The 23762-nt window shown below is 35.8% G+C and overlaps 1 protein-coding gene across 11 annotated transcripts in view; it reads left to right on the top strand.

Moving 5' to 3' along the window:
* The window catches only part of ELAPOR2 (endosome-lysosome associated apoptosis and autophagy regulator family member 2), a 182749-nt gene that overhangs the window by 136215 nt on the left and 22772 nt on the right, over nt 1-23762 (top strand). For 10 of the 11 annotated variants that reach the window (XM_011515918.3, XM_011515921.2, XM_017011843.2 and 7 more), the window contains 8 exons: nt 4130-4220; nt 4896-4998; nt 8580-8717; nt 10236-10499; nt 11195-11368; nt 13439-13628; nt 14897-14993; nt 15669-15770. In XM_011515918.3, coding sequence (XP_011514220.1) covers nt 4130-4220; nt 4896-4998; nt 8580-8717; nt 10236-10499; nt 11195-11368; nt 13439-13628; nt 14897-14993; nt 15669-15770 — 1159 coding nt within the window. Of the gene's footprint in view, nt 1-1348; nt 2678-4129; nt 4221-4895; nt 4999-8579; nt 8718-10235; nt 10500-11194; nt 11369-13438; nt 13629-14896; nt 14994-15668; nt 15771-23762 lie in introns of those variants that run through there. The other variant, XM_024446686.2, reaches the window with a different exon arrangement.

Genomic DNA, 23762 nt, shown 5'->3' with positions numbered 1-23762 from the left:
AGGATTTTTAGTGGTTTTTTAATGATACATAATAGTTTTATATATTTTGGGGGTACGTGTGATATTTTGATATATTCCAAAATGTGGAATGATCAAATAAGGGTAATGGGATATTATCATCTCAAACAATCTTTTTAATGTTGGGGACATTCTAATTCTTCTAGCTATTTTGAGCAACACAAAAAACTACTAACTACACCCTACTGTATATTGAACACTAGATCTTATTTCTTGTATTTAACTGTATTTTTGCGCCCATTAACTAATTGCTATTTACCTCAAAGGGGTAATATTTTTCATAGAATGATGATCAGAAAAATCAGAAGACCATGCTAAATGAAAGAAAAACAGGAAATAGATTATATAGTAAAATCTAAGTTATATATTTTAAAAGTATACACTAGACAAATACTAAAAAGAATGTTAAAAGGCTATTCCTTGGAGATGGGAGGTTTATGTGAAATATGAATTACTTTATTTTTAAATTTGGTTTACTGTATTTAATATTCCTTATAGACACTCATTGCTTTCAAAATCAGAATAGTAACACAATATTGATTTAAAAATATATTCATTTGACTCAATAACTCTTTTATTGGTATTCCTTTTTAGAAAAATATTGAATATATAGAAAAGCTTTACAAAAATATGTTTATTATAGTTTATATTATGTTACTTAAAGGTAAAAACAAACCAAATGGTTAAAATGGATGTGTAATCAACAGTAGATAAGTCCTGTAGTGGGAGCGATTTGGTGAATTATGCAAATTATATTTAGCTGAATAATAAAATATTATTTCAGTCATTAACATGTTTATGAAGTATTTATAAAAGTGCTTATGAAATAATGTTAATTTATAAAAGCATGATACAAAATTATCTATAATAAAAGCTCAGTGATGTAAAAACATGTATGCGTTGAAAGAAAGTGAAAAGAAACATCACAGCATGTTAATGGTGTTTTTTTTCTAGGTAATGAAGTTATAAGTAATTTTAGGTTTCAACTTTTAAATTTGTCTTTAAAATTTAAAATTTTTATGATAAATATAAGTATGATTTTTAAATACAAAATAATCTTAAAATATAAAATATACACAGAAACATGGAAAATATGAGATTCACTCTTATGGAAAAAAGAAAATACAAAATTATGTATACCATTATTAAACTGTGCCTATGGACAAAGACTAGAAGGGAATGTATAAAAATTATAATAGCTGTTAGGTGTTAGGTTAGAAGTAAATGTTTTTGAAATCAACATTCTGGTTGACACTGTTCCATATAGTTTTTATGCTTGAGAAAGGATAAAAATAACAACCAGGGCACAGTAAAAGGCAGTATTTCCTAGGTTTTCTACTGACTTTGATATGCCCTGGTTGATAGGAAAAAAAAATCTTAATTTTTATATTGATGACATGTCAAAATTATGATATTCTGTGTATATTGGGTTAAATAAAATATATTAAAATTTCACTTCTTTCTTTTTACATTATAAAATGTGGTCCTTAGAACATTTAAACTCACAGGTGTGGCTCACATATTTCTCAATTGGATAGCAGTGGTCTATCCCTTAAGGCACTTATATTGATTTGGTACTAGCCATCTGGTTTCCCTTTGACGCCATTGTCCTCCTGCATTTCTTGTCCAGTACATTACCCTGCGTGTGTCTTTCCACATACAGCTCTGCTCTCACGTTGGCAGTCTGGAGTTCTGAGTCAGGGGGTTCAGAGCAGTAGATTCTTTTATTTCTTTTCTTTGGTGTTTTTCCTGCTAAGGGTATCATGAGTGTTTAATTTCTTAGGGCTCCTGCAACAGAGTGCCACAAACTGGGTGGCTTCAAACAACAGAAAAGTATTCTCTCAGAGTTCTAGAGGCCAGAAGTCTGAAATCAAGGTGTGGGCAGGGCTATGTTCTCTCTGAAGCCTTTAGGGGAATATCCCTTCTTGCCTTTTCTAGCTTCTGGTAGCCCCAGGAATTCCTTGACTTGTGACAGCCTAACTCTAGTCTCTGCCTCCATCTTCAAAGGGCCGTCCTCCCTCTGGGTCTGTGTGTCTCTGTGTCTTCAAATGATCCTCTCCCTGTGTGTCTACATCTGTGACCGTATTTTCCTCCCCTCATAAGGACACCAGTCATTTTGGATTAAGGCCCATCCTTATAACCTCATCTTAATTTGATTATATCTATAGAGTCTTTATTTCCAAATAAGGTCCCATTTATGGGTATTGGTGGTGGAGATTTCAACATATCTTTTCTTAGGGACATAGTCAATGCATAACAACAAGTGTTCTGTTCAGCCAAACCTGTGGCTGGAGTTGCTCCAAAAGTGGCTGGCAGGGGTGCTCCCAAAAGGAACTTCCCTAAACTGTCCTGAGACAGGGTCAGTTGGGATTTCAACAAAAGAAGCACTGAACACCACAGTGATCAGTCCAAAGCATTTATTAGGGGAATTTACCTACAGAGAGGCCTGTAACATACCTCACAATGGACAGTAAGACAAGGAATGTTCTACTGAGGTGTGTCTGGAATGAGGGGAGTCGGGTTGTAGAGTTGAGATGAGGGTTTGAGGAGTTTGGCTCAAGGCTGGGGCTAGTTTCTTTCAGTATTTTAGACAACAACCTAAACACCTCTATCAGTGCCTGGGAATGTTCAAGGCCCTGGCTTGGGGTCAAGCCTGCAGGTAATGGAGAGGACATGCCACTGGCCAGGTCTCAAAGGGGTCAAGACACTCTGTTTCTCAGGACAGAGGAAAAAGTGGAGGACATTGGGGATCTCTCAACAAGTGATATTCAAACATGGGAAATGTTTGTTTCCTCCTGCGAGGGTATTAATCCTCCAAACTTAGCTCTCTTTACCATCCTTGTACTGCCTTCTTTTCTTTGCCCTTCCCTGCTATTCTATCCCTCCTCATGCCTTTCTGAACACTAGGAGTTGTTCTGAGAGAAACATTTCATAAAGTCCTCCCTTTCTTGGTATAGAATTGCTCCATGTGGGAATATCCTTCTGCTTTTTATCCCTACTGGAAGTTTACAGTCTCTTTAAACCTAAGTGCCTCTCATATTGCTTATACTGCAGTCAAGGGCCTGTTGTCCCACTGGGTCAGACTGCTTTATGGCTATTCAACTCTTAGAATTCTATACCTGCTTATCTCTCTTTTCAACCACATTAGATAGCCAAACAATGGACATCTGTCTTATAAGTATGTAGATTAGTACATATTATTTTTAAGACTAGCTTGACTGATGTATAGTCAACATATCATCTCTGTATAAATTGTTGATTATAACATTTCAAAAATCGCCAAGTCAGTCTAGCACTGAACCAGGCTCTTCCTTAATTTCTGTCTTTTACCTCTTGCAGTGGCAGATACTGATATTTTCTTTTAGAGATGGAAATGCCAATGCTGAGGTATTGCCATTAATTAATAACCTTGCTTGATGTTATGTTGGAGAGGCCTCTCTCTTCCTCATTTTACTGTGGCCATTTCAGTTTATATTGATTGTTACTTTGCAGAAGACGGACCTCATAATGGTTCTCTGTGCACAGCTCTATACTGTTGACAGTTGTTTGTGTCTGTCTCTCATGTTCTACAGACTCCTCAGTGAGGGGGACTTTGTCTTACCTTCCTATCCCAGTGCATGTCATAGTTCTTGGCACTCAGTAAATGCTAGTTGAATAAATAAGTGAATGAATGCAGAACAGGGGTTAAATTAGGGAACAACAGTACAGCAAACTGTAAGAATGAACCTCAGGTCCCAAATCTTTTCTGTTAAGTAATTTGAAGTTTCTATTGCACATTGGTTGCCTGAAGACTAGGATTGTTCATCTCAATATATTAGAGTAGATAGAGACCATCTGTTTTAGTTAAAATACAAATCATGCTTCATTGAGAAAACTGTTGTTATCCCATTAAGTATCTTTTATTCAAAATAATGCATTGCTTGGTTCCTCTTGGAACATCTACCTCGGGATGAAATTTGCGACTGTGATTAAAAATAGGGAATTCATTTGTAGCATTTCTAACTTTGAACAGAAACACTAATGCTTCTTTTTATTTTTACCTTATTTAAACAGATTGTTGGAGATCATTAATGGAATTTTTATTAATAAAAATGACTTTTATTACTTCTAGGTTGGGAGGTGGCTGGAGATCATATCCAGAGTGGGGCTGGAGGTTCTGACAATGATTACCTGATCTTAAACTTGCATATCCCAGGATTTAAGTAAGGAAAACAATTCTAATTCTTTTCTGTAAGAATCCTTACACCTGTTTCCCCACAGAAATAAAGAAGTAGGGCTACTTTATGGAACATATTAATATTACAAAAATACTTAGTAAATAACAAGCTGTCACAGGGTAATGTATTATATTGAAGAATATCTGTAGAAGTAGTGATTGAGAAACTATAAATGTTAGTTATATATTACTTAGATAAAGCTGAAAAATTTAAACAATAGTGTGTCCAAATGCTACCATAACTTTGATTCTTGGATGCTTAATGAAGAGGTCAGTCCAAGTTGTTTGCAGGAGTATCTTTTGGTTTATTTATCTATTTTTTCTCAGTTCTCTTGGTAAAATAGTATGTTAGAAATTTCTTAATCCCATTTCATTTTAGTTCCCCGTGTTGAAATTACCCAGTAGGAATCTTTTCCTTTAGGATGGATGGTATCATTTACAGCAAGAGGTTCAAGCATATTACCATCGTTATGTGGACTCAATGTCTACAAAGGGTGTGGACAGGTATGATTAAGTGAGGAAGGAGTTGTGGGTGAGGGAAGTGGTAGATTAGAGGAAGAGAAGAGCATGGCTTTTAGTTTAATAAAAATAGTGGCTTAATTTTATTCTAAATTGTATTTAGAACATAGTATAAATATTGCCATTTTAATCTGTCAAATAGACCACCAACATCTATGACTGGAGCCACGGGTTCTGAACTAGGAAGAATAACATTTGTCTTTGAGACCCTCTGTTCAGCTGACTGTGTTTTGTACTTCATGGTGGTAAGTGGACGGGCGGCTTTCAAAGGCAGATTTCTAAGCTTAGCATTCTCCTTCAAGTGTAAATTTATTTGTGGCAAGTTGGGATAAGAATTCCTTTTTTTTTTTTTTTTTTTTTTTTGCTATTCTTAGCACCTTTCACAAACATTAACAAATGTCTGAAGAAATAATTAAGAATTGTGCAATGAAGTCCACAAATAAAGTGTTTATTCCTCATGGGAAAGACTAAGTGAGGGAGCTTGGGTGACTGATAGAGGCCAGGGAATATTAATCTGGTAAAAAAAAAAATTCCTTCATAAAAACGTCACCAGCAGAATGAAAATTCTCACCTGATAACCATTCAGCTATTTGAACTATCCGGAAAGAAAAAACATTGTACTAATAAGTAAGAGCAGAAAATAATGGAGATGTAGAACATTGAGAAGAGAGCATTTAGAAAAAGAGTACTATGCTCATGTCATAATTTTGCCCATTTCTTTTCTAGATGTCATACAAATCTCTACTCTTAGCTTGAGGAAAGTATCACCATGAAATTTGCTAAGACCTTATGTGAGATTTAGAAGTTTGTTGGCTAAGAGTTTAACATTACAATTAAATAGTTACTTCACAGACCTGCTTTGTTTTTGTGTTTTTTTTTCCCAATGACCTTTTAGTAGCCAGTTAACAGTTTATTAACAGTTTTCTCCGTGATATGTAAAATGTGAGGAGACTTAAACATTTATTTGTGATTACTGATAGCTTAAATGAAGGCAGACTTTGTTTCTGAAAAAAAGTATCCACTTTGTGGCAGTAAAAGATCATGAATAATCTTCAACACAGCCATCTATATCACAAATAACCCGTAAGTCTTCAATTCTCCCAAGTCTGCCTCCTTATTTCTTTAGTCTGTTCTTCTCATACTCAGTGCCATTGCTGAAATGCAGACTAATATTATCTCTTAACAGGATTATTCAGTAGTCTCCTATACGTTCTTCTCATCTCTACTCTTTCATCTATACTGCTGTCAAAATTATTATTTTTTCTTTTTGGAGACAAAGTCTCACTCTGTTGCCCAGGCTGGAGTGCAGTGGTGCGATCTCGGCTCACTGCAACCTCTGCCTCCTGAGTTCAAGTGATTCTCCTGCCTGTCTTCTGAGTAGCTGGATTTACAGGCATGCCCCATACGTCTAGCTAATTTTTGTATTTTTAGTAGAGATGAAGTTTCACCATGTTGGCCAGGCTGTTCTTGAACTCCTGACCTCAGGTCATCTGCCCATTTTGGCCTCCCAAAGTGCTGGGATTACAGGTGTGAGTCACCGCGCCCAACTAAAATTATCCTTAAACATAAAAGGAACAGTAGAGGCTGGCGTGATGGCTCAGTTCTGTAATCCCAGCACTTTGGGAAGCTGAGGTGGGTGGATTGTTTGAGCCCAGGTGTTTGAGAGCAGCCTGGGCAACATGGCAAAACCCCATCTCTACCCAAAAAAAAAAAAAAAAAAAAAAAAAAAAATTAGCTGGCCACAATGGCGCATGCCTTTAATCCTAGCTACTTTGAGCTACTTGGGAGCTTTAATCCTAGCTACATGATCATGCCACTACACTGCAGTCTGGGCAACAGGCCCTGTCTCAAAAACAAAACAAAGAAGACACCCCAAAATTCAACAGTAGAGGCTTGAACAACAAAGCTATCCCTTCCCTTGGTGCTTTTTATGGCCTATAGCAGTGATTCTTAAAGTGTGGACCCTGGACCAGCACCACCTGGGTCCCCTTGGAAATTGTTAGAAATGCACATTTCTGGGTCTCAGCTTAGTCTTACTGAATAAGAAACTCTGTGGTCACAGCAATCTGTATTTTAGCAAGCATTGTGGGTGGTTCTGAAATACTTTAGAGTTTAAGAACCAACAGCCTCTGAATACACTTCAAATTCTGTAACATGGCGTCTTTATGGCTCTTTCTTTCCCCAGCCTCTGTTTCCAAACCTGCTTTTATGACTCACCTTTCTTTAGTCACCTGAATTTGTTGGTATTAGTGGAACACTCTGTACTTTTTCATTCCCTATGTGTTGACACTCTAAGCTAGAATGACATTTTTCCTTTTGCTGTTTTGTCTGATGAACTCCAATCATACTTCAGTAGCAGCTCAAACTTCACCTTTTCTCAGAAGCTCTCTCTTACTCCTTTCAGTCAAGTTAGCCACTCTCTCCAGTGTGCTTCTAAAACCCTTTGAAAAATCCCTGCTTTAATTATGTGAACTTATTTATGTTTTTGTCTCTCCCACTTGACCAGGCATCCCTGAGAGTAGGGATCTTATGATATTTGTATTGAGGAATCAATCCTAGAGCTTTCAGCTTTTGGCAAAGTCTGCCATTTTCTTTCCTCTTTGTGTGATGATCTTCTCACAGGACTTTTGGAGATCTCAAACCAAATAATATATAAAATGCTTTGAATATCATGTAGTGCTTCACAAATGTAAGGTGATATTATGTGCACTAATGCATTAAATTTCAATTATTATAACCCATAATGATGTTTAATGAAGCACCATCAATATATTATGAACTGCTTTTTGGGAATGATGATTTCATTGTTTGGTTACATGAGGATTTCTATAATGTATGATGAGCATTTTCTGTTATTCCTATCTGTGGTGTGAACTCAGGATGTGTCTCTTTAGAGCATATTTGGTTACTTTATCACATGTTTGATTCCTGTATTATCAAAGGATGAAAAACAAAGAGACTTGTCTTGAGCTCATGAAACCTTATTGCCGGCATCCCAGATAACTAATGGAAGCCCATCCAAATTCCTAAGTGATCTATCAGGATTTCTGCCAGGAAAATTAGAAAATTCAGAGTTTAGGCTTGGTTTTCTTTTTATATAAATTAGATGTATGTTACATTATCTGGTCAACTTATTAATATTTGCTTTCCAGTCATGTTAATGACAGCATATCAGTTGGAATATCACAAATTTGTGTGATTTTAATATTATCTTGAATTTAGTTAAATAAATAATAAATAAAATATAAATTAAACCTTTTGGAAGTCAAGTATAAGCAAGAGAGGATTTCATGAACATTAAATAACATTCTGCTTAACATGCACTTGGATAAAGTCACCCTGGAACTTGCAAGTATAATTCAGGGGAACTTGGAATTCCTATGTAAGAGCTCCCTATCAGAATCTCTGAAGGAAAAAGATAAAAAATTTGAAGGCTTTCCATTCAATGATAACTTTAGAAGTTTATTGTAAGAAGTTTGAGGAGTTATGTTTCCTCTTCTAAGTATATATCCCAAGCCAGATCACACACATGAAACAAAAATAGAAAATAAAAACAAAAAAAACCCCAACCCTTAAACATATTATGATTTGAGACCTCTTTCAAGTTATATGAACAATGTGGTTGATATATTGTGATTACTGAGTGAGGTGCCTGTGCAGACTTGAAGGCAAGTTTTAAGAGTTCTGGGATTACATGCTCTGTTTGTAAATAGTCATAAACTGTAATGGGTTTACTTTAAATATGAATACATTTGTAATATATACACAGGTATATTAATGTTGAGTTTGTGCTTTATTTGAATATAGTTTTTCCACTATATTTCAGGATATTAATAGAAAAAGTACAAATGTGGTAGAATCGTGGGGTGGAACCAAAGAAAAACAAGCTTACACCCATATCATCTTCAAGAATGCAACTTTTACATTTACATGGGCATTCCAGAGAACTAATCAGGGTCAAGATGTAAGTTCCAAGCACTTTTTTTTAAAATTTTAAACACACTAATGATGCCCCCTTGTGGAGATGCATACAAAGTGATAACTCAAATTTGGAAGAAAGGACTGCTTTTTAAAAAATATGGAATGAATAATCTGGTTATAGATTCAGTGGTATAAAATGATAATTTTTTATTTTTTGAGAGTAAGAATGTATGGAATAAAATAACAACATGTCTTTGAATTGTTCTTCACTCTGAACAAATACAGTTTTTGGAAACTTATGAGAAGGAAAATCTAATTTTGCAGTTCTCTAAAAATAACTTGTTTTTAAAGCTTTCTGAGGCTTTGTGAAGATGGGCAACTTTCTTCATCTTCATCTGAGTCATCTAATGTTTAAGAGCCATTAACTAGTGTCATTTTATTTTTTTGTTACAGTAATATTTCCTTTTACAGCCTGGAGAATGTGTATGTACCCACCATTGAGTTAACACACAAAATCATTTCCTTTCTTTTATTTTCCCTGCCAGAATAGACCTATTCCTCCCCTAAGTATATCCATTGTACCATATGTTTCAATAGTAGCAGGACTTATTTTGTGGATCTCTATAGATGTAACCTTCCCAAGGTGAGAACAAGATAAACCACTTGTTCAAAAGTGGCCGTAATGCTATGGTGGCAATGTATGGCATTTTCTCTTCTTCTCTTCAGGCTTTCAGTGGGGAATAAATTCCCCAGATTGTACTTGACTCCAGTTATTCCTTATGAAGGTTAAGATAACCATCCTGTGGGGCGTGAACATGCTGTGGAATCTTTCCTTGCCTTCCATTTATCTTTGTCCCAGACAAAAAGCATTAAGTAGTCTGGAGTAACACTGCTCTGTACCGATAGAGTGACGCCAACTGCTTAATTAAAACCAGACCTTAAAGTGACTCAGTGTTACAAGGAGGAAAAACATAATAAGACCCAGGTTTTTGCTCTCTAGTCCACATCTTTTCTGTATGTTGATTAGGGAAAGGACTGGAGAAGGAAAGGAAGACTCAATGAAATGGTGTGATTGCATTGATTTAGCACAGTTAATGTTTGTGTATGACTAGAGGTCCTAGTCTTCCAAGATTTTCTCATCCCCATTCCAAGGCATTTCTACCCTGCCGCACTTTCAACCTCCTATTGTATCATTTGATTTAGGCTAAGATGTGAATAAATGATGATGGGAGATAAAAACTGTTCCTCTCTTAAACTATACTAGTTCTTCTAGATATGAGGTCTATAATTGCATCCTAATTTATACTAATTGTGACAGATCTCACAGTAATTGTGGCAAAACTCCTGGAACTATATTATTGCAGAAATTAGTTTCTAGTATCAAGATTTAAGATTTTTTAAAAGAAGAACCAAATAGCAGTGATATTAATCTATTGTCAATTACAAACTATTAGGCTGGAACACTCTATTTAGTTATTTTGATGATGTCAACAGAAGACATAATCTGGTTGTACAACTAAGCCCCAAGGCAGAAGTCATTACTTTATGCTCTTTTTTTTAGAATAGACGGTTCATCAATGACATGGTGAAGATTTATTCTATCACAGCCACTAATGCAGTTGATGGGGTGGCGTCCTCATGCCGTGCCTGTGCCCTCGGTTCTGAACAGTCGGGTTCATCGTGTGTCCCCTGCCCTCCAGGCCACTACATTGAGAAAGAAACCAACCAGTGCAAGGAATGTCCACCTGACACCTACCTGTCCATACATCAGGTCTATGGCAAAGAGGCTTGTATTCCATGCGGGCCTGGGAGTAAAAACAATCAGGTAAGTGGGTCTGCATTTCAGGTATCCCCATGAAAGCACATTTTAATAGAGAAATTCAAGCGTTCTCCTTAATGTTTCTCTGGGAGCTATGAGGTTGCTATTTATTCTGAAATAAGACTTTCTACTTACCATTTCTGTTTTCTCCCTTCTTGCGTTTATTAAACACTTACTGTATGCTATGAAAGTACTAGTTACTGGTGACATAAAATATTAAAAGCTCCCAAATAAGAATGCTTTTCCAAAATATTAAAACTGATTTCTTGTGTATTGTTTAGGTACAGCAAATAAACTACCTATCTATAGGCTGGCTATAGCAGTCATCTGGGAACAGCTAGTGTTTCTTATAATTTTGAATGGCAAAGATTGATGCCATATTATGAGTGAAGGACAAAGCACTTTTACTGTCTGTTTAAATTTACGTAACAGAATTTTGGCTATTTCTTAAAATACCTTTCTACAAGGAACAAACTTGAGGATAACTTTACTCTGTCTTTAAAAGATTCTGAATTTTCTGAACTTTGTTTAGAAAAATCTAGTTAGAGTTTAGAAATTCTTTATATTAGTATGGTAAAGTATATTATAGCTAAGACTAAATTACTGGAATAGTTTTTATACCTAGAACTTTTTTCAAACACATTTTAGTAGCAGCTAATATTTTCTTTCCTGCTATATTGTTTCTTTATCTTTAATCAAAGGACCATTCGGTTTGCTATAGTGACTGCTTTTTCTACCATGAAAAAGAAAATCAGAGTTTGCACTATGACTTTAGCAACCTCAGCAGTGTGGGCTCATTAATGAATGGCCCCAGCTTCACCTCCAAAGGAACAAAATACTTCCATTTCTTCAATATCAGTTTATGTGGGCATGAGGTGAGTTCTGGCTGTCAAGGTGAGATGGACCTATATTTCAGCTCCGATCAAGTTGATATTTTCTGTGTTAATGGACCAATAAATTCTCTATGGATATCAACCAAGTGTCAGAAACTGAGGTTTGATTGCTTAGATCCTCTATTGCTGCCTAGAATATTGGCAGATTTCTCCACCAGGGGCAACCTTGTCTGGTTCTCAGTGTATCAAATCACTTATGCAGTCAGTTGAAACCTGAAGCTTGGAGCTATGGTGTAAGTGCTTTGAGGATGTTTTGTTTTCATAAAAATGGGTCAGGGTTGTCAATCTTACCTCTTTAGGCAGGAAGTTATTTGAGAAAGTTTTACTGTTGTTTATGTTGTCAATTTTGTGTTTTAAGAAGAAAAAGACTTTCAAGAGGAAGCTTGTCCAAAATAAAAAGGAGACATGCAGGGCCAAATATCAGTTGATAAGGTAGGCTTAAATCATACAAATGGGATTTTATTTGCTGTGAGAAGAAGAGGAATCTTAATTGATACTGGCAATGGGGAGAGGTTACAGGACCATGATGCCCAATATTTTAATGGACATATGAGGTTAGGGTTGGGAAGTATGTATAGGTATATACCTACAGAGTAGGAACAGGATAAGGCATTTCCTCCATGTCACTTCCCATATTAACTCCTATATTTTCAATTGTCTTCATTATGAGATACTGTGCAAAGCTTTGAACAAAGGAAACAAAAAGAGATCTGATGACCACAGAAGTTTTCAAACAAAAAGATCCATAAAATTTTACATAGTATGACAGCTGTCCTGTTTTGATTTTACCTGGGGTGATCCAAGACACTCACTAGATTGGTTACTCAGTTCACTCAATAAATATAAATTAAATACCTGTTATGTGCCAGATACTGTGGGAAGCAGTGAATAAGATTAATTCCATTGTCTACCATACTTCTATCACAATCTTATTGTACATTAGCACTACCTCTTTTTCCACCTTCTCTTCTCTTCACCTCTAGCTTCTATCTCTTTCCTTCCTTTTTATTCTTGTTTCTTTCCTTTTAGCTTCCACTATTTTCCTTTTTCTTTCCCCAGTACCTTTTCTCTGATCTTTTCCATTATTTTTTATTGGCTTCAACATTTTAATTTAAGCCTAGTAAAAAAAATATACTGGTGAGAAGGCCTATTGTCAGAAGGCCTGGTAGCAGGAGAAAAATTTATAGGTTAGGTCTGCTAGCTGCATTAAGAAAGATAAACTTTTATACTTTTCTTTTTACACATCTGTGTACACTCTATATCTAACACCAATGAAATAGTTTTCCTGTATTATTTTTACATTTACTTTGTAGAAATTATGGAGCAAGCTATAGTCTTTTGCAGTAGGACTACAGTAAATTTAAACATATTATATTTAAACAATTTTTCCATTTTTTATAAGTTATATCTTCCAATTATTTTCAAAATTATTAAAAAAGCTAATCTCTCTATTACCTTTAACTTGTTATACAGTTGAACAGATACACATCATTGAAACTAAGAGTAGGTTAATAAAGACACTTGTAGTGACCAATTATTTAGAATTCAGGTGTTATTCTAGAATTTTGCTGCAGTATGACTTTTGTGCTTTCTTCTTTAGCCTTCACATTACCTTTCTGCTACACATAGGGTCATAAAGGAAAAGGAAGACCAACACTTTTTCTTTGACACTGAAGCTTTCATCAGCAGTTTTCTGGTCTTTTTGCATGCATTGTTACTCTATGAATTGAACATTTCATAGATTACTTTTATTTTCTCAAGTTTGATGACTTTCATTTATCACAAATGATGCTTGTACTGGGAAGAGCAGTATAGTCTTGAATTACTGTATTTGTTATAACTGTAGACTCTGAAGTTTGGTTGAATATTGGACTTTCCTTGAGAGCTTTTAAAAAGTACTGATGGGTGGCTAGGCCTCATACCAGATCAACTAAATCAGAATCCTTGCAGTGAGGAGAGAGCCACTGCTCTTCTAGGGTCACTAGCTAGTCAAGATTAAGTTTAGAGATTGACATCCAATAAAACCTTTCTTTTATGACTTTATTTTCCTAGGGGAAGAAGATGGCTCTCTGTACCAACAATATAACAGACTTTACAGTAAAAGAAATAGTGGCAGGGTCAGATGATTACACAAATTTGGTAGGGGCATTTGTATGCCAGTCAACAATTATTCCTTCTGAAAGTAAGGGTTTCCGAGCAGCCTTATCATCACAATCCATCATTCTGGCAGATACATTCATAGGTAAGCTTCCTTTGGTTCATATATGCATGCATACATTTATTCTTAAATTATGCTATGAATAACTTGTCATTGTATTGGTGTTTGCTATAGATGATTAAGGCCCCCACAGGTAATTTTAAATTGTCACTTTGTAAGATGGTTAAAAAGCTCCTACTAGTGGGGACTATTGATTAGTCTCTGAGAAGCTTCTGCATTTATGTATTAATTCATATATAAGTATGACATTTTCTGAGGGTCTATGCCTGTCATCAGACTTTCTAGAACTTTAAGAGGCAAACCAATTTTAAAAATCAAAACTAAAAACAAAATAGGAATAGTAAACAAACACAACTACACCTAAATTATTTATATGCCACCAGTTTCCATCACCTTTTCTCATACCAAAAGGAAGCAGGTGACAAACAGCAAAGGTGAGGGTGCTGAGTTTGATTCCTCATGTTCCCTTTTTGTCTCTGTAGTCCTGGAGGTCATAGATAAGTTTCAAGAAGAATCTAGCTCTCTAATGGGTGATTCTTAGGGATCAAATTTATTATGATCTCTACAGTGGGGCTTAGGAATCTGTGGTTTTAACAAGCTTCATAGGTGATTCGGATGTGTGGCCAGATTTGAGAACATTGCTTATAGTATAGACTCCAGAGGAATTTAGCATTGACTTTCAGCACCAAGGTCAGTTACTGGGGTGGGGGTTGCTCAGATTGGGAACTCTGAAGCAAAGTTTGCTCTTATTGTGTTTTGGCTCTGTTATTTTGCTTACAAGAGGCAGGGAAAAAAAGCCTTAGTTTTCTGCTTACTAGATTAAGCAAATTTCAGAGTTATTTTCTGGAAATTATTAGGGCACAAAATTTTTTGCTTTGTCAAATATGTCTATATTGAATATGAGTAAAAAGCTGTATTAGCAAAGTAGCCTAACTCATTCGATAAAATTCACTGGAGAATGAAAATTTTAATAGACTTTTGAGATGTTAGAGAACTGAAACGAACTTCGTAGATTATCGAATTACTGCTTGCATTAGATTCAGGCAACAAGACCCAGGGAAGTGAAAAGACTTAAGCAAAATTACAAAACTAGGGAGTAGAATCTTTTCTCTTTCATTCTGGAGACTTTGGAAAATTTCTTGTTTTTACCATGAATGCATTAATATAATACAGCATTTCTGTAAATATTGTAAAATGACAGTCATTAAAGCTATTTTCTATTCAAAACTACGGAGACCAAATAAAACTAATTTTCCATATTGCTTAATAGTTTCTTTTTAAATGTCATCTAGGAGTCACAGTTGAAACCACATTGAAAAATATTAATATAAAAGAAGATATGTTCCCAGTTCCAACAAGCCAAATACCAGATGTGCATTTCTTTTATAAGTAAGTGAAGATGCTGTTTCCCTTGACTATATTTTAACCAAAAGAAACTTATATATATGGAACACCAATACTCATATATTTATAATTATGGGTATGTAATCATATACCAGATGTGAGTTCTTATGGCAGAGAAGATCAACTATGTCACCTGAGCATTCCTAGAATGTAGCTTATACTTAATAATTAGTAACTGATTCTTAAATGAAGGATAGTAAAAAGTAGGAAACATGGAATATTTTGAAAGCCTTGTATAATTTCTCGTGTGTGTGTGTGTGTGTGTGTGTGTGTGTGTGTGTATTCACTTACATTGGCAGTAAAGAGACTCTATTTCATTGTCTCGCCAATAATTATTTATAATTCATATATCAAAGCATTGGCCTAAGTAGACATGGTCTTTGTTCCCTTAAGAATATTTTTGATTATAATTTTTATTAAAATTATATCTTTACTAAATACTTTGATGATAACATATCACTTTACCTGGGAAAGTAGTCAACTTTTCATAGGCAATGAAAGTAAATGAGCTGAATTTGTATTAAAATTACAAATTAGTGAACTTTAATACATTTTTCTTTTTCATTTGTTCATGAAGTCTGAGAGCAATTATTCCCATATTTTTGTCTTTGTAATCTGTATTATATCTGTTTTTTAAAAATGTTATTTGGCTTACAATAGGTCTTCTACAGCAACAACATCTTGTATTAATGGCCGATCAACTGCTGTGAAAATGAGGTGTAATCCTACTAAATCTGGAGCAGGAGTGATTTCAGTCCCCAGGTATCCTTATTTCCATATGATTTGTGTTTACCATGAGGAAGAAAAACTCTCCAGAATGTTACTATTTTAAAACATATTCTCTATGAACATAAAGCAGAAAGAAAACAGAACAATCTGTAGGGTTTTTTTTTTTTTTGTAGGGAATGTGCTGAGTGTGTATTAAGAGAAATAGGTCCTTGTACAATCTAAAGACTTCCTAGCCTCTTGTATGACATATTCTTGTCCTGTTTGTGTTAAGTGTCTAATTCTCTTGAAGAAATATAAAATTAATTATATTGCTTGTATCCCTGTATTTATTTTATTGTTTAGCCTGAATTTCCTTGAGAGCTGGATTAGTAGCTTTCCTGATTATGGTACTAGATCAACAATTAACTAGCTGGGTGATCAAGATTAAGTAATCTAACCTCTGAGTCATAGCTTTTTTCTCTGGAAGGGTATGGGGGCCAGGGTAATTTATATTATCGATTTCTAGCTCTTCAGTTTATTGATTAATGGTGGCAGAATCACCAAGGTAAGTCTGACTTATAAAATACATAATGTGCTTCATTTAACACAAATTAGCATTAAGGCAATAGCCCTCTATAGTGAAGATCTGAATAATGCAGTTCGCTTTGGATGGGAAAACAACAAGAAAACAATTTTGTAGGCTCAGAATTGTCAACTTAAATACAGACTGCTTTAATAGCATGAGTGACACTTGAATGCCTCCTCAGTTTTATTTTTCAGATATTCATTTTTCAACATGAAGATTATTTATTACTTTATATTTTATTTTAAAAATTATTATTATTTTTAAATTTTTTGTAGAGATGGGAATCTCCCTACATTGCCCAAGCTGGTCTCAAACTCCTAGCCTCAAGTGACTCTCTTCTCAGCCTCCCAAGCTGGGTTGGGATTACAGGTGTGACCCATTGCACCCAGCCAGATTATTTATTTCTAATCTTTGCTGAGTTAAGATACCTTTGGATCATAGCTTGATTTGCAGATTTTTTTTCTCTATCAAATTAGCAAAAGTATATATTTTTAAAGAGAAAATGATTATATTAATTTTGTTTTTGATAGTTTCACAGTAACCCTTGGGAGATTTTAACCTGTCCTGCTTATGTCACATCAGGATTGGAAATCAGTGGTGTAAGCATTGCTTCAACTACTTATGTATCCTAAAAATAGTTACAGGGGTAACACAGTATTTTGGGCTTATTTTTGGGCATAAAGGCATACTGACATTCTCTTTTCACCAACTGCGTGTTTCCACTTCTCATAGACCTATGATTTAATTATTCTTTTTACCTGTTCAAGGTGAGAGATGGATGCAACAAGAGTAGTACCTAATAATAATAAAAGGGCATCCTGTGGTAGAGGATCCCTCTGCCAGCCTCCAAGCTAGAACCAAGGCAACAAGCCACCCTCCAAGGAAAGGTGTGGTCAGAGATTCTAGCAATAAAAGAGTGTGTCTTTCATCATTTTCTAATATGCCATCATACAGTTCTGAGTTCAGGTGCTTATTCTATTTACTACAGCACATCTGGGGGCCATATTGTGAACCTAACAATTAACCTGTAGTCTCTGGGAGTCTACTTCAATAGCTTCCAAAGCCTCCTCCAGGCCTCTAACTCAAGTAGATGATGTTAATGAAGATTAGGTCTGTCCTTTAGGAAACACATCACTCTAACTCTCGTAAGGTGTGTTCTGATGCTTTAATTGTAATAAGGAAAATAGTCTCCTGGAGTTAAGCGATGGCATGTAGAAACTGAATTTTTCCTATTTGGAGAGGAAAACTTGTTTCTCCTTTGACCTCCAGGAATCTGCCACTTAGGGAAGTAAACTATCTTTGCCAGGTTTATCAAGATGACCTGCAGCAGAATACCTTGGGGTATCTATTTAAAAAATTAATTTCTGGGCCTTCCCTAAAAATATAGAATCTTAGATGCTGAGCATAGGAACATTTTTAAAAACCACAAGGCAATTCTGATGTCTACTGAAATTTGTGAACCAGATTTTTTCTTAACTCACATTTTGGATTTTTTTTTTTCTGAGACAGATTCTCAAAATGTATTCCAAATTTTAGTTTTATGAAAAGCTAATTTAAAATGTGACAGTCTAAAGGGTGTAGTCCTTCAGCCATGTTTGATAAATCTTCATTTAGAGTTGTGATGCGCACTGAAGTGTGCTGACCACTACTTTAGGGAGCTGCTTGAACACTACAGCTTAAATGTGCTGACCTTTATTTCTTTCTTGAATCAATTTCCCATCAGGGCACAAGGGGGAGCTCGGAGATCAGAACACGAGAAACAGCAGCTTTCCTGAAATTATTAGGTTTTTTTGTTTGTTTGTTTTGGTTTTTTTTTAGCAGTGAGGTTGAATAAATATTTCCTACTGACAGAAAAAAAAAAAAAGTCAACATAGCCCAGTTTCTCAGGCTATTTTTTAAGAGGACTTCTTCTCTTCTCTTCCTCTCTCTCTTTCTCTCTCTCTCTCTCTCTCTCTTTCTCTCTTTCTTTCTTTCTCTCTTTCTCTCTTCTTTCTTTTCTTTTCTTTCTTTCCTTCCTTCCTTCCTTCCTTCCTTCCTTCCTTCCTTCCTTCCTTCCTTCCTTCCTTCTCTCTCTCTGTCTTTCTCATTCATTCATTCATTCATCCATTCATTCATTCATTCTTTCAGCTTTAAGATTTCCAGAGTGGAGGGAGGGAGATGCTAACCAGACACTTGCCTTGAGAAGCTTCATAAGCTGACCAAAAAGTCTCAGAAGGAGACTTTGGTAGTGCAGAAGGAATGCCACCCTCAGGAAATCTCATTTCTTGGCCAAAAATCTTGGCAAGCCAGGCAAAAGTTTACTTTAGCAGTAGCAATGTTGGTTGGGGTTTTATATCTTGGTGTCCTGGGAAAATGTCATAAGATCCCCAGACCTGGGAAAGTGAGAAAGTCTTAATAGAAAGTGAAATGGGCAGGAGAAAGGGGGAAATATGTGTTCTTTGTGTATCACCTGAGAAATTAGAGGGAACAGCAAATTATCTGGGCTGCCTTCTCATCTGCAGCTGGAAACACCAAGCTGTCTATTTGGTCTGGCAAATGTAGTTGGCTTCTAGTTCCATAAAGTGTCTGGAGGGTATGAAACATTTTAGATAAAAACGGTACAGTGTTTGTGGCAGATGTAATCTGACAGCTGGAGTGAAGTTACGAGATTTTCTAGTGTAGTTTGCACCTTGAGCAGAGAATAAACTGCTAGCACAATAGGCTGCTGATATTCCTAAATATTAATAGATGCCCCTAAATAGATGGCCCTCTAGCCTTTGCCTAAAAGGCTTCCCAAACCTCTAATCATTATCTCAGGGAGATAGAGGAACTGAAGGCTCTCCTTTTATTGGGAAGAATTTAGACCTAAGCATTGTGTCCAAAGGGTTCTTTTAAAAACATGAGACATTTCTGTTAGTGAAAATGGTATAAAAAGGCCTTATTAAAAAGCAGATAAAGAGAAGCATTTTTACTCTGATAATAGAGGTGCCACAGCATCCACAAGATCCTTGAGTCAAACACATTGACTTTACAGAGCAGGAAACACTGATGCGCCAGGTTGTATAGCTGCAGTGTGGCATAGTCACGATGGAATAATTTTCTAACTGTGTGGTTTTTTCATGCCATAATGCTCTCATCTTGCCATTTTTTCATCCAATTCCTCATGGGCAGAGATTTGCAAAGAAGCACACTAAGTTAGAGGCAAATATCACACTTACCCCAGAGGATAACTCAACTGACTTACAAGTTATTGGTGCCTTCTTTTAAATGAGTCATCTTTCCTCAAACAGGGTCTTTATTGATGCCACCAGTTAGAGGAAAATCATTTTTTTCTCTCTGTCAACTTCTGACTATATTTAACTGCTTGAGTAGTTTATAAATCAGCCTAAAATTGTTTTGCCAAAACCTCCTTCAAAATCCAAATTCATCTCCATTATCAGTATAGCCTCTGGGAATATTGAATCTCACAAAAGGAACGCTTCACAGTTCTGTCCTGTTATATTCAAGGGTCAAACACTCCAGGGGTTTATTTCACAGATTCCAATTTAGAGTCTCTCTATCAAATTCATCAGATCTATTGGATGCTAATGTAGTATTTTCTTTGGTCTTTGGGGAAGGACTGTTAAAACCAAAATATGTATCCATTTTCAGTTCTTAAGAGACATGGAAGGATGATTGGTAAAATGACTTCCCTTGTTTTCTTTTTCCCTAGAACAATTTATAGACAGATAATAGATATGTAAGTCTGTGCAAGTTAAATTAAAAAGGCAATTTAACTCAAAAGACCAAAACCAAATACGTTCTTAGAATATTAAAAAGTAAAAAGGCATATAGATGCATTATGAGCATAAGTGAAAACAGCTAAAATCCATTTTGATCAAGAAATGAAAAAACTAAAACAGAATTGCTAAAATTATATACTTCAGACACTAATAAGTACTCTTAAGACATGATATAAAAATCACAAACCATTCTTAAAATTTTCAGATCAATTTTGAGATAAGGATGATAATTATTTTATTTCATTAAACAAGATAATCTGAAGAGAAAACTAAGGAATGTCAGTTAATTTAGTTTGTCTCGGTTTTGATCTGATGCTGGCTTTTGGTAGTTAACTCAGGATAGAGTCTTTAGAAAGGGAGGTTTTGCAGGAGAATGATAGAATTTTGTAAACCTGGATCTAAGAACTATGCATAAAAAATCTTATGTTCATATTCAATCTGTTGTGATATTCTTGTAGAAGACACTGGGTTCTTGTCACACATCCAGGAAAGAGTAGGGTTGCAGACACTTTGAAGGGTGAGGGGTTATGGAATTTATTGGGCGAAAAGGAAAAAGACTCAGCCAAGTGAGAGGGGTTCCTGTTAGCAAGCCCCCATCTCACAGACTGAATCCTAGGTTGCCACCCAGGAATAAGAGGGGCCAGACTCCTCCCCCTGCAAAGGGTGCAAACTTCCCAAGGCCCCACCCCATTCTTCCAGTGCCAGTCTGATTGGAGGTTTTCTGTGGAGCCCTTTTTACTTGGCTGTCTCAGTCTGAATGTTTGTGTCTCCCCAAATGCATATGCTGAAATACCATTAATACTGAAGTGATAGTAGTAAGAGATGGTGTGTTGGGAGGTTATCAGCTCATGGTGGCTCTCCCCACATAAATGAGATTAGTGTCCTTATAAAAGAGACTCCAGGCCTGGCGCAGTGGCTTACGCCTGTAATCCCAGCAATCTGGGAGGCCGAGACAGGCGGATCAAATGAGGTCAGGAGTTTGAGACCAGCCTGACCAACATGGAGAAACCCTGTCTCTACTAAAAATACAAAATTAGCTGGGCATTGTGGCGGGCGCCTGTAATCCCAGCTACTCAGGAGGCTGAGGCAGGAGAATCACTTGAACCCAGGAGGTGGAGGTTGTGGTGAGCTGAGATCGCGCCATAGCACCCCAGCTTGGGCAACAAGATGGAAACTCTGTCTCAAAACAAAACAAACAAACAAACAACAAAAAAAGACTCCAGAGAGCTAGCTAGCCCCTTCCACCACATGAGGATGCAGCAAAAAAGTGCTATCTATGAAGCAGAGAGCAAGCCCTCACCAGACACTGAATCTGCTGACATTGTGATCTTGGACATCTCAGCCTGTAACTATAAGAAGTATATATAAACTACCCAATTTAATATGTTTTATCATAGTAGCCTGAATGGACTAAGACACATTCACAAACAATTTGTAATCTCTAGCCTCAGGGCAAAAAAATTTTGGAGCAAGATGCAGTGGTGTTTTTTGGGCCCCATACAAGAGGGGACAAGCCATCCTCAGCAGAGAAAGTCTGATTCTCCTGAGATGCCAAAGGTGAGAGGAATTACCAGCAGCAGGTTAGCAGACAGCACTAATGCCAGTCTGAATACCCCAACGTGGGGAGCTCACTCAAAAGCCCCATGCGAAAGCAGCTTAGCAACAATAGTTTATCCTGGAGGATAACTCAACTGACAAATTTTCTAGGTACACAAAACTGTGGCCTTTCCCTTCAGTCTCCTCAGACAAAATCCAGAGGGATCAGAAACATATTGACAATATGGATAAATGTATTTTAACCTTTGTATTTTCTATTTTGGCAAAACGTATTTATACTGAATTATAAACTGTGCAAAAAGTTAATAATAGGATCAGTATTAAGTCATAATAGTTCATAAGAAAAGATTCTTCTCCATGAATTCATAATACAAACCAATTAGATCCTACTTTAGGAAAGATTTATTTAAAAGAAGACACTAATAGCTCATCTCTCAGTCCAGTTATCTCTCAGAGAATGTATCCCCTTTTAGAATTCAAGACCTAACTTCCTAAAAAAGGTTAATGTGAATTCTTACATATTGCCAGGGCCATCCAGATTCATAAGGCAATCCCAGAAGTAAAATAAGGAAACTGGGAAGTCTCTTATTCATTTACCAAGAAAGCCAAATCAAGGTCCACCTGGTTGTGCTTTGAATAGGTCTTTGCTCTACCTAGATTTCACAGCACATCCAGTAATCCTGTAGAATCCTAGCCTGACATGCCCCAGCTATCCATGACAGTGTACTGTCTCTTTAGGCATTTATTCACTGGTTCCTATGGTGATTGCATAAACCAAAAATTATAAAAGAAGCATGATTTGTGATACCTCTGCATTCCAGCTTTAAAAAGCTGGGGGAGGTGGCTGGAGATGATGATAGGACAAGTAATCAAAGGGAAAAGTATTTCAAGTACTTGGCAATAAAACATTTATCTATTTTACTGTTTGTTTTTCTGTTTTCTTGGTAGGAGAAAGTATTTTTTGTTTTTCTCTTGTACTTTTTTTCTATTTTCATACTAAAAATAAGTGCTGTTCAAATTATTATTGGTTCATACATCCCTGTTTCACACGGAAGGACTGATTTAAATTATGACATTTAGGTTTATAACAATTAAATTTGGATGTTCCACAATTTAAGTGATTCATCAGGTTAAAGGAATCAAATAATTGACTCTAAGGTAAACTATTTTGAGTTAAGCTAAGAGTATCTTTTAACAAATGAAGTCTGCCAAGGAAAGGCACTATAGTGTTTTGACACCTAACAGCAGCTTTATAAATTAAATCAGTGTCGTGATTTTTTTTTGTTGTTGCAGTTTCTGTGGTTCTAGCAGTTCTTTAGAAAGTGATATGCATTGCTAATAGTCTTTTATATTTTTGCATTGCTTTAAACTTTCCAAAATTGTTCACTCATTTTATCCATTATAACTACCCCGTGAAGGCAGTATAGCAGACGTTTGATTTTGACAAATTACAAAAATGTGGCAGGGGAAAGAAGGAGTTAAGTCATTTGTAGGAAAACATAATCATTCGAGTGTCCAGTTAGAATTGTAACCCAGATCTTTTCTTTAGAAGTTTTTGCAACTTTGATTAGTTTTCTCCTTTTTTTTTCATTTATTGAGTTCATTTTTCTCAGATTTTAACAGACTTTCTCTTCTATTTTCCCAAGATAAACTGTTTTTTATTTCCTTACTCAAAACTCCACTGTGCTAGAAAACAAAATGTAGGATAATTTGGGGAGGAAGATTTGAACAGGAGAGCACTTTTGCTATTTTCACTAAATGATCAGGAAATTGTATTCTTGGATATTTTTTCTCATTGTTTACCTAATTTTTAAGAAAGAAAAATTTTGAGTTGCTTTTTACTAATCTAGAAGGTGGAAAGTATGGATATTTTATGTGGCATGGTTTTCATCTATTGTACTTACTTTAAAAAAAAACCACCTATCTTTGTTTCAGTCTGAATATATTCATTACTCTTTAAAAAAAAAAACAGAGAAATTAAGGCAGATAAGAATTAAACCATTTTCCCCAGAGTCACTATTTGTCATTGTTCTTAGCCCTGACATATGGCATAGGGCCTCAGTTACAGCATGCTATAAACAACATTGCTTTTATTCACATCCCACCACCTCTGCTTAGTCTACAGACACTTTGGAAAGATAG

This window comes from Homo sapiens, chromosome 7 (assembly GCF_000001405.40).
Source record: "Homo sapiens chromosome 7, GRCh38.p14 Primary Assembly".
NCBI classification, from domain to species: domain Eukaryota; kingdom Metazoa; phylum Chordata; class Mammalia; order Primates; family Hominidae; genus Homo; species Homo sapiens.
The sequence above is the reverse complement of the archived record's forward strand: the minus strand, read 5'-3'. Positions and strand labels throughout refer to the sequence as shown.